General features: G+C 37.1%; 1 protein-coding gene across 1 annotated transcript; it reads right to left on the reverse strand.

Annotated features, from left to right (window-relative positions):
• Window positions 3,630-6,182, reverse strand: NAP1L2 (nucleosome assembly protein 1 like 2). Its single transcript, NM_021963.4, has one exon. The coding sequence runs from the start codon at window positions 5,821-5,823 to the stop codon at window positions 4,441-4,443; it is 1,383 nt and encodes a 460-aa protein (NP_068798.1). The 5' UTR covers window positions 5,824-6,182; the 3' UTR covers window positions 3,630-4,440.

Here is a 12,249-nt window from a genome sequence, read left to right on the forward strand (position 1 = left end):
ATGCACAGATGCGAGCATGCACACACGTACAAAATATCACTTTTTATTACCTCTCTTCACCTTGAAAACTGATGGAGAAATATTAAGTGACAAAGCACCACTGATATTGATTCCACCTGTTGGGAATCTCTCTACGAACTTCTCTCACTCTGGATCATATTGTCCTGTGTGTCTGTGTGTGTTTGCATGCGTGTGTGTGTGTGTGTGTGTGTGCGTGTGTGTGTGTGTATGTGTGTGAGTGAGAGAGCCGGCTGGGCATGGTAGCTCATGCCTGTAATCTCAGCACTTTGGGAGGCCAAGGCAGGCAGATCACCTGAGTTCAGGAGTTCAAGACCAGCCTGGCCAACATGGTGAAACCCCGTCTCTACTAAAAATACAAAAATTAGTGGGGCATGGTGGTGCATGCCTGTAATTCCAGCTACTCGGTAGGTTGAGGCAGGAGAATCACTTAAACCTGGGAGGCGGAGGTTGCAGTGAGCCGAGATCGCGCCATTTGCACTCCAGCCTGGGCAAAAATAGTGAAACTCCATAATAATAATAATAAAAAAGAGCCTACTAGTAAGTTAAGTGTGGAATATAAAATTTAATAGAAATGTACAGTTACCTTTACCATTTTTGTCAAGTTGCTTTGTGAAATTTTTATTTCAGCACTAATCAAATAAAACTGGTAGGATAGCTTTTTTCTCATTGCCAAGTGATACATTCAAATCGGGGTACAGAATCTTTTGTGTAAGGTTTAAATTAACAGGTTCTCTATATTACAGAGGCAGTGAACTACTACTAGATAGTTAACACATGATCTACTTTTTCTTCCAAATATACCTACACTAGTAGTGACATGAAAGTGCTCAGCAGGTGTCAGAACCAGTAATATTCACTTTATATGCACCACTTCTTGTATACATGTACAGACATATATTTATACACATCAGACTTCCAAATGGTGTGTGTGGTCCCCGCTACTCAGGAGGCTGAGGTGCAAGGATTGCTTGGGCCTGGGAGGTCGAGGCTGTAGTGAGCCATGATCACACCACTGCACTTCAGTGTGGGTGACAGAGTGAGACCTGTCCCCTCCCCCAAAAAAGAATTTACTCTGCCTTTACTGTATACCCATTTTGAGTATTTTAGAGATACAAACTTAGTTATAAAAATAACAAAATACATATATCTATATAGCATTTATGTGCCAAGCATATTCCTAAGCACATAAACTAATTAATTCTTCATAATAATTTTATGAGGTAGATGCACAATTATTACATTTTGACAGGTATGAAAACAGAGATACATAAAGTAACTTGGACAAAGTCACTCAACTAACAGGTTGCAGAATTGGGATTTGAATCCAGGCAGTTTAGAATGACTAATCATTCTGAACTATAAGTTACCATGTATCCCAAAATGGAATTTTATTGTATATTTGTATTTCAGTATATTCCCTGGGAATATCAAAATTCTAACAAGGCCCAACAGCCACCTCTATGACGCCTCCAGGACCATATAATGATTAATTTTTTAAGACAAATATGAAGAGAACAAAGGTAAAACTTGATTTGTCACACATAGGTTCTTAACCTTAGTACAGAACTGTATGGTATGTGGACTGAAGCTGGTGGCCTACCCTCAAAGCCCAAAGTGTTTTTACACTAGTCTAAAACCAATTGAATGAACCTCCCTCCACAAGCTGTGGGAGGGATGAGAGGCTCAAATTGTATTCCTAAGAAGAGGCAAAAGAGAAAGAAAAATAAGGAACAGTTCCTAACTTTAGGAAGCTAGCCTGGCACTCACAGCTAGGCCAGGCTATTCTCCTATTGGACACAAACTATTTCATAGAATACCAACCATAGGGTAACTCTGGGACTATGATAAAATGAGACAAAGCAAGACCACTTAATTTTGTCTAAGCAGAGACAAAAACAAGGTCACTGTGCCACCCACGACATACAAACACCTCCCCCACCCTGCCCAGGCTATCCTTGTTCTAGTCTCCCCTCCCTATGGATAAGATTTATTGAACTACCAATCATAAAATTGCCCACATTTTCTGTCAGCATCGGATCTAGAGTAAACCTTATTTTCCTTGGACCCACCACCAAATCTTACAACCCAGTGTTTTTTCTAACACCCACTTACTGATACATTCCATGGTTCCCTGAAGCATGTTCTCTCTCACTGCAGTGAAGAATAAACCCAACTTCTTCACCTATAGGTATATCTTTGCCTTTGGCTGGAGGCCATTGACATGAGAGTTAGAGCAAAGGGGTCTGGCTTGCCCTCAGAGCAAACCCAGAAGCATCTTTACTATTCTGTCTAATGAAGGTAAGAGAAAGGTATAGGAGAAACTGCAAAATGTCTGAGTCTCCTCTGTGAAATACCAGGAGTGATACACCCATGTCCCTGACTTTTTAATGCGCAACAACAGTAGAGACAATTAAAAGGGGCCCAATCTCTGTGTGTGACAGGGGACTGCGGAGAGTCAATAATTTCACAGACGTCAAGATTAATGGTGTTGAAAAGTGTTAAAATAAGTCTATACTTACCAGGCATACATAGAAAGTATCTCCTTATTTAGATTTCCTTATAATAGTAAGTTGTCTGTTTCCCCATATCCTGTCAACTATTGCAACCACAGGGAAAAGCAGGGAACATCTACCCCGTCTTTGGGAGAAAGATTTAACATTAGAGGAGAGTCCTGTACAGACAGGAAAAGGAAAGAAAAAGCTCATAATTTCTTCCTCAGTTGATTGTAGAGAGGTATGAAACAGAAATATGAAAAGTTGGCACTGCTATAAACTTACCTGTCTGGGTCAAGATCTGAAGGAGGAGGCATGTTTAATAGTGGAAGAATAAGTCACAGACAGAACTTCTGCTCCACTTTTGGTTTATATTTGTGCAAGATCACATCCATCCAACCACCTGGGATGGAAGAGTGGATAGGCAGCAATAAAGAGACAGAGTTAGCATTTCCTAGTCACTCTCAGTTCCCACGTGGCATGGAGGGGACCAAGAAGTTCTCTCTTGTACTAGAGGTATGAATGTGACCTTTTCAGAGTCTGCCAAAGGGAGAAGCAAAGCCTGTTTCCACATGCAAGAAAGGCAAAGTCAGCTCTGGGACAAGGGTCTGATCAACCACATCCCATTTTCCTGAATCAGGGCACTGCACTCCAAGCCCAGCCACAATTAGTAATGCAATCCCATATATATCCAGATGACACTGTGGAAGGGTAGGCAAGAAATATGAAATACAAACTAACACACAGGAACCTGTTATTTCAAAAGGGTGCTTAAATTATTAAATAGCACTGAGATTACTGGATTGATTAGAATTGAGAATTTTGTTTCCCTGCAACCTTGTGTAGTGAAAGTAGACTTGAGATTATGAACAGATCAATTATAAACACTAAGAAAGGTATACTTTCTTTGCACATTTTAGTATAGTCTTAGTAAATCTGCATGCGTGTATAAACATATAGAAATATAATTGTAGAAAATAAATCAAAACATTAACAGTGCTTATTTTGGGGTAGGTGGGTGGTATATGGATTTTGTGTTTAATTAATGAATTTTTTCAGTATTGCCCAAATGTCCCCCAATGAACATATTACTTTTATAACAAGAAATACATTAAGTTTTAAACATGAGACACTCTGAAATTTTTATTCTTTTTATTTTGCAGTGAAAGAACACGAAATATCTTTTCAAAATGGTAAAGTGATCACTTTCAATGAATGATGTAATAGGAAAAGAGAATTAAACACTGTAATTATGGCTTACACAATTACACAGAACAATATGTGCAAACTTTTGAAAATACTGTGACTAACACTTCACCGACAAACAATAACCTCAATATAACTAAGTTTCATTATTTATCACAGTTACATAAAATACAAGAGCCTATGAACAAGCTGTTATTAACAATAAATGTAGTTTTGCCTGAAATTCTTATCTATATGCAGGCCTCTTAAGCATCCAAGTTTTAAATTCTACTGCATTGTTATTGCAAAATGAAGCAGGCACAACAAAATTAAATCCACTAGCTAAAGGACTAAGTAAACAAAAATAGAAAAAGAAAAACAACAACAGCGAAAACCCTTGGGTTGTTTCCCAAGATTTTTTTTCCAAACAAATATTGATCTCACTTAGCATTTCTGATCATTTCATAGCCACAGATTAATAGCTACATGACAAAAAGACTTCAGAAGGATTAAGCTACACAACACTATACTAGTGTTTTAAATCATTTACCACAGTGTACATTTCTTGAAAACATTCTACTACTAAAACTCAAGGTCAAATTAATTAGTTTTTGAACTTTTCTTATATTTTTGAAACATATGTTTTAACTAACACTACAAGAAAAATACAGAACACAAGGCTTCTTATACCTTGAGTAACTATATCTAGGGCAGTTAATTTCAGGGCCATGTATACTCTGCTCTAACGATCAATGTCTTCTACTAATGCCTCAAGGTTTTTGCAACAAGCTTTAACTTCCTCAATTGCAGCCATCCAATTATCATAAATAATTTTGTCATAAATTGCATCATTAACTTCTCTAACTACCCCCTCCTGCTGAGATTCCAGTGCATCACCTGAGAAAAATAATACTGATCTTGGAATTATGTAAGTACGTAAATTGTGACCAAGTAAAAAATCATCATTTCCATCCCTTCCATTTGAGGTGATTCCATGAGGAGAGAAAAAATTGAAAAATGAATCCTTGGGAAAATCTTCAGTTACAGTTCGGATTGTTCCCCAGATCCGATGTTTCTGTTTCTTCTTGATGGTTTTCAAAGTGACATTCTTTCCTTCATTCCAATCTATCTCACAGCCTGTGGAATACTCAATCGCAGTTCCCCTATAGGGATGGGGATCATAATATGCTAGCTTTGACTTCAGCACATAGGTCTTTGTCAACAACTCATTTTTGAAATATTCATTGGGTTTGAAGTGAAATTCTAGTGTGAAACTGAGGGGCTCGCCAGGATCTGAAAGCTTAACTTTAATATCTGTCAGGAGCTTCAGAATAGGCTCATCATATTTCTTAATCAAAGGAGTGAGTGTATCAACGTTTTTTAAAACAGTTAGCCAAAAATCAGGAATTCCCTTAGGATCCTCCTCTTCTTTATTCTCTTCTCCAGTAGCCTCAATGTCGTCCTCCTCCTCCTCCTCCTCCTCCTCTTCCACAGCATAATCATAATAATAGTCCTCATAACCATCGTCCTCATCCACATATTCATGTACCATACCCTCCTCATTACCATACATCTCTTCATGACACATTTCCTCATCATCACAGTCCTCAGAGTCTGATTTATATTCACATTCCTCTTCTGTAGGTTCATAGATTGCATTGATGATCTGACGTCTTTTTTCCAGTAAGGGTTGGTACATTTCAGCAAACTTTCTTTCAATGTCATGAAATTCCCTCAGGAATTTGGATTCTAAATTGGCCGCTCTAGTTTGAAGCTTTTTAAGGGCTAACACACGGTACTTAACTTTCACAGGTAGACTTTCAACAAAGTCTGTATCTAAAACATAACCGATAAGTCCTTTTGGACGGTCTGCCTCTGAGTCCTCATCAGTATCGCCACCTTTTTTCCCATCTTCCCCGGACCCAGCAGCAGTATCTTCACCGTTTTCCCCTTCTTCCCCAAGCCCAGCGGCAGCTTCTTCACCGCACTTCCCATCGTCTCCAAGCCCAGCAGCGGCATCTTCACCGCGCTCCAGATGTTCCCCGAGCCCTTCCACCATTATCTGATTACCAGCCTCTTCTTGACTGGATTCTGACAGCTCCTTGCGGTTCTCTGACTCGGCCATTTTTCAAAGGACCGTACACGCCTAAGGTGGCTACCACAGAGATCGGGAGACCAAACCTCCACAGGAAAAGACTCACCGAAATATCAGAAGCGGCGGTGGTCGGACCTAGCAGTGGCGTCCGGACTGAGGGAACGACGATCCAGGCTGCTCGGGGATAAAAGATGGTGCTGAGGCTTTGAGAACCGGACTGAAGCAGTGGCGACCTGGGCTGGGTGCAGAGGGCGGCGACGGCTGCGTTGACCGATCCTGCAGGAGAGAGCCGGAGACTGCAGAGAGCTGCAGTGGGCAGACCTCCTCCGCAAGCAGCTACTGCTGCAAGAAAAAAACGGTGCCGCAGTATGATTACGCAGCTATCACTTGCCTAAAATTTCTAGGTGCAAATAGATTGCTGCGTCACCTCCTTCCCTCCCACAACTATGCTCTAATCTCATTTGCTGCAATGTAGTGACTGACAAACCCAGAGCCAGTAAATTATTAGATCTATCAAGTTTTCAACTCTGCTCACCTTCCCAGGCTCTCTAACATGGCTGATTCATCCACCTCCTCCTCGTCCTCTAGCCCATCTCCCGCAGAGTTTTCTGGAATCCCATTGCGTTCATTAGTTCATTCATCCAACTTTTAACAGATATTATACTTTTATGCTTTCCAGAGAGCTCAGAGAAAACGTAACTAAAATGTCGAACAATGAGAGAAGACAAGGCACCCACCCATCCTAAATCAATCTCTTTGATTTTAGATCGGGGACCTGGGGAGGGGAGAGGTGGATGGTGGAAGAGCTGATAAACAAACGCTTCAAAGATTAAAAACACCAGGAATTAGCACTGATGGTCTTTAGGTGGCGTGTCAGTTATTTAAATATTCTATATTATGTTTGTCGGTATTTTTCACAAGCTATATGATTTTAGGTTGAAAAATTCTCGAAACATTTCCTGTGAGGGGAGGAGGAGGAAGTCCGATGGCAGTGGGGGCGAATGAGGGCCTGTGATGAAAAACTAGTATGGTGTATACAACTACGTGACTAGTAAACATACCAGACAATTAACCACAATTAACCAGTTGCCTGGCTTATAAATAACCCCAGTCCCAATACTGACTTTCTGCTTCTCCTTCTTAATGCTGGCTTTAACAGCCGTTAGAAATATACATATATACAAAAGCCAAAATGGAAAGTTATGTTTATTCTTAGAAATCATAACATTTGCTTGATGCTTTTGAGTTAATTGGAAATAATCTAAATCTCAGCATTAAAGAAATGGTTAAACTATTTGATAATGTATTTATAGGATGGAAAGCTTTGCAGTAATTAAAATTTCCTCTCTATAGTAATTATTGGTGAGGTTTATTTTGTTCATATTTCTAACTTGGATCATTTATTAATTGAACAATTTTTTAAAATTTTAAGTGACTATTATTTTCCAGATTTAAAGAATTTGTTACTATCACAGATATTAAAACTGTTTACATATTGTTGTATTTATTTCTAAATTCTGTCAGTTTATAGATAAATTTTTCCTTTAAGTGAAAATACCAGATACAAAAGAACAAATATTGTATGATTCTACTTTAATTAGGTATCTAGAGCAGTCAAATTCACAGAGACAGAAAGTAGAAACATGGTTTTCAGAGGCTTGGGGTAGGGAGGAAAGGAAGTTATTGTTCAATGTGTATGGAGTTTCAGTTCAAGAAAAAGAAAATATTCTGGAGATGTATGGTGATGATGGTTCACAGCAGTGTGATTGTACTTAATGCTCCTGAAATGTAGATTTAAAAATAGGTAAAATGGTAAATATTATGTTATGTATATTTTATCATAATATAAAGTGTAGAGAAAAATATTTTAAAGACCATATTCAATATAGTACTGGAAGTCCTACCCAGAGCAATTTTGCAAGAGAAAAAAATAAAGGACATACATATTGGAAAGGAAGTTGCTAATTTATATCCTTGTTCAAAGAAGACATGATCTTATATTTAGAAAAACCTAAAGACTCCACAAAAAAACTGTTAGAACTAACAAATTAAGTAAGTTTGCATGAAGCAAAATCAACACACATAAATTAGTAGCATTTCTGTACACCAGCAGCAGACAATTTGAAAAAATCAAGAAAACAATCCCATTTACAATAGCTACAAGAAAATAATACATCTAGGAATAAATTTAACCAAAGAAGTGAAAGATCTACGCAATAAAAACTATAAAAACACTAATGAAAGAGATGAAGAGAACCCCAAAATGGAAAGATATCCTATGCTTATGGATTAGAAGAATCAATATTGTTAAAATGTTTATACTACCCAAAGAAATCTACATATTCAATGCAATCTCTATCAAAATACCAATGACATTCTTCACAGAAACAGAAAACAATATCCTAAAACTTTTATGAAACTACAAAAGATCCCAAATAGCCAAAATGATCCTGAGCAAAAAGGACAAAGCTGGAGGCATCACACTGCCTGATGACAAAATGTACTACAAAGCTGCATGGTACTGTCATAAATACAGACGCAAAAAACCAATGGAACAGAATAGAGAACCCAGAAATAAACCCACACATTTACAGCCAACTCATTTGCAACAAAGTCACCGAAAACATACATTAGGGAAATGACAGACTCTTCAATAAATGATGCTGGGAAAGCTGGATATTTGTATGAGAAAGAATAAAACTGGACCCCTATCTCTCACCGTATACAGAAATCAAATAAAAATGAACTAAAGACTTAAATGTAAGACCTGAAACTATGAAACTACTAGACAAAACTGGGAAGATGCTTTAGGACATTGGTCTGAGCAAATATTTTCTTTTTAAGCCCTCGAAAGCACAGGCAACAAAAGCAAAAGTAGACAAATGGGAACACGTTAAGCTAAAAAGCTTCTGCACAGCAAAGAAAACAATAGGGTAAAGAGACAACTTACAGAATGGGAAAAATATTTTCAAAATATCCATCTGACAAGGGATTAATAACCAGAATATATAAGAAACTCAAACAACTCAATGAAAAAAACTCAAATAATTTGATTAAAAAATAGTAAAAAATATGAATACAAATTTCTGAAAAGAAGATACATGAATGAATGGCCAAGGTATATTAAAAATGATGCTCAATATTTCCAGTCATCAGGGAAATGCAAATCAAAACCACAATGAGATATAATCTCATCCCAGTTAAAATAACTATTATCAAAAAATAAATAACAAATGCTGGCAAGGATGCAAAGAAAAGGAAACTCATATACACTGTTGAAGGGAATGTAAATTAGTACAGCCACTATGGAAAACAGTATGAACATTTCTCAAAAAGCTTAAAATAGAACTACCATATGGTCCAGCAATCCCGCTGCTGCTTACATGTCCAAAAGAAAGAAAATCTGTATATTGAAAAGATCTCTGCGTTCTCATGTGTATTGCAGCACTATTAACAAGACCCAAGATATGGAATCAACCCATGTCCATCAATAAAAGAAAAGATAAAGAAAGTATGACATATACACGCAAAGGAATATTATTCAGCTATAAAAGGAATGAAATTCTGTCATTTGCAACAACATGGATGGAACGGCAGAACATTATGTTAAGTGAAATAAGCCAGGCACAGTAAGATGAATATCACATGTTCTCACTAATATGTGGGAACTAAAAAACTCATCTCATGCATATAGCGAGTAGAATAATGATTATCAGGCTGGGATGGGTAGAGTGGAGTGAAATGTTAGTTAATGGGTACCAAAATACAGTTAGATAGAAGGAATTAGTTCTAGTGTTCAACAGCACAGTAGGGTGACTATAGTTCATAATAATTTATTGTATATTTCAATATTGCTATAAAAGAAGATTTTGAATGTTCCCAACACAAAGAAATGATAAATACTTATTATTTGTCAGGTGATGGATGTCCTAATTACCCTGATTTGATCAATACACATTTTGTGCATGTATCAAAATATTACATGTATCCCATAGATATTTACAATTATTATGAATCAACAACATTTTTAAAAAAAAGAAACTCGGGCCAGATGCAGTGGCTCACACCCATGATTCCAGCACTATGGGGGGCCAATGTGAGAGGGTCACTTGAGCCCAGGAGTTTGAAGTCAGCCTGGGAAACATAGTGAGACTCCCATCTATGCAAAAAAATAAAAAATAAAAAATAGCCAGGCATGTTGGTACACACCTGTGGTCCCAGCTACTGGGGAGACTTAGGTAGGAAGATTGTTTGAGCCCAGGATGCCAAGACTGCAGTGAGCCATGATTGTGCCACTGCACTCCAGTCTGAGTGACAGTGAGACCTGTCTCAAAAAAATAAAAAGGTCCTATCAGTATATGCTTGGTAAAAAATAGATGTTCAATACACTTTTAGCAAATGAGTAAATAAATTTAAAAAATCCAAAACTAACAAGCAAAAATGTAAATAATATCTTAAGTAAAATGAGACCTAAGAAAAATGGGTGAAATATATATATGCAAAACACATATATAGATGCAAAACAAATAAATGATTAACATATAAAGAAAATTATCAATGGCTAAAATTAAAATGTCTAACAATTCCAAATTTTGGCAAAGATGTAGAGCAATTTGGACTCTTAGATATTACTAATGGGAGTGTAAACTGGTATAAAAACTTTAAAAATTGTTTGGCATTATCTATTAAATCTAAACACATGCCTCTCCTAGGATTCAGCAATGACCTACTTATGTAAATACACAAAAAGGCTTGTACAATAAAGTTCATGTCAGTTTTATTTGTTTTTAAAATAGTTCTACTTGGGCTTATTTTGTGTATCATGTAATGCACCCTTTTCAAGTGTGTGAATGAATGATTTTTAAAATTATATTTACCAATTGGAGGCAGAGCAAGATGGCTAAATAGAACTCTCCAGCAATCAATCCCCCTATGGGAACATTAAACTGAACAACTTTCCACGCATAAAATACCTTTATAAGAAGTAAAAAATCAAATGAGATATCAGAGTTTCTGGTTTTCGCATAATAAAAAGAAAAGATGCATTGAAGAGGGAAAGAAGAACAGTCTTGTGTTGCTTACACCCCCATCCCAATCCCAGGCAGTGCAGCCCAGAGAGAGAATCTGTACACTCTAGGGAGGGAGTGCAAAGTGAGTGTGGGACTTTGCATTGGAACTCAGTGCTGCCCTATCTCATAGTGTCATGGTGGAACACAACACCAGACAAATTTCCACAGGTTCTTCTGGATAGAGCATTTAGACCAGTCCTGAGCCAGAGATGAATCTACTGCCCTAGTGGGAGGAATTAAAGTCCTGGCCCACTTTATGACTGGCTAACTACAGTGGCCTTGGGCCTCAAATAAATTTCAGTGGCAACCAGGTAACTAGTGACTGAGATCCTTGGGCAAGTCTAAGTGTGGTTCTGCAACTGGTCTTAGAGGCTGTAGACTTGGGATGTGACCCAGCACGACACAAGCTGTGGCAACCAAGGGAGTGCCTGCATCACCTCTCTCCCAACTCCAGACAAGTAATGACAATAGTAAGTCTTTACTTATCAATAATAACATTAAACATTGAAATTTAAAATTTTTCAAATAAAAAACATAGTTTCTGAATGGATAACAATCCAGACTGAACTGTATGCTGCCTGCAAGAAACTCATTTTACTTAATCTATAAAGACAAACATAGACTTAAAGTGAAGGGATAGAAAAAGATATTTTATGCAAATATAAACCATAAAAGAGCAAGAATAGCTATATTTATATCAGATAAAACAGATTTTAAGTCAAAAACTGTAAAAAGAGAAAGTTCATTATATTATATAATGATAAAGAGGTCAATTCAGCAAGAGGATATAACAATTGTAAACATATATGTGACAAATATTGTAGCACCCAAACATATAAGCAAATATTAATATATCTAAAGGGAGAGATATATTGCAATATGATAATAGCAGGACACTTCAACACCTCAGTTTCAATAATGGACCTATCACCTAGACAGATAATCAACAAACATTGGACTTAATCTGCACTATAGACCAAATTAATGTAATAGATATTTACAGAATATTGCATCCAATAGCTGCAGAATTCACATTCTTTGTAACCGCACATGAAACAACCTTCAGGATGTACCATATGTTAGGCCACAAAACCAGTCCCATCAAATTTTTCAAAAGTCCAAATGGTATCAAGTATATTTTTCTGATCACAAGGAAATAAAGCTAGAAATCAATAACAAGTGGAGCTTTGGAAACTATACAAATACATGGAAATTAAACAACATGCTCCTGAATGACCAATAGGTCAATAAAGAAATTAAGAAGAAAATTTTAAAATTTCTTGATCCAAATGACCATGGAAATGCAACACACCAAAACCTATGGAATACAATTAAAGCAATACTAGGAGATAGCCTAATAATGCATCTTAAAGAACTAGAAAAGCAA

Source organism: Homo sapiens, chromosome X (assembly GCF_000001405.40).
Source record: "Homo sapiens chromosome X, GRCh38.p14 Primary Assembly".
Taxonomy (NCBI): domain Eukaryota; kingdom Metazoa; phylum Chordata; class Mammalia; order Primates; family Hominidae; genus Homo; species Homo sapiens.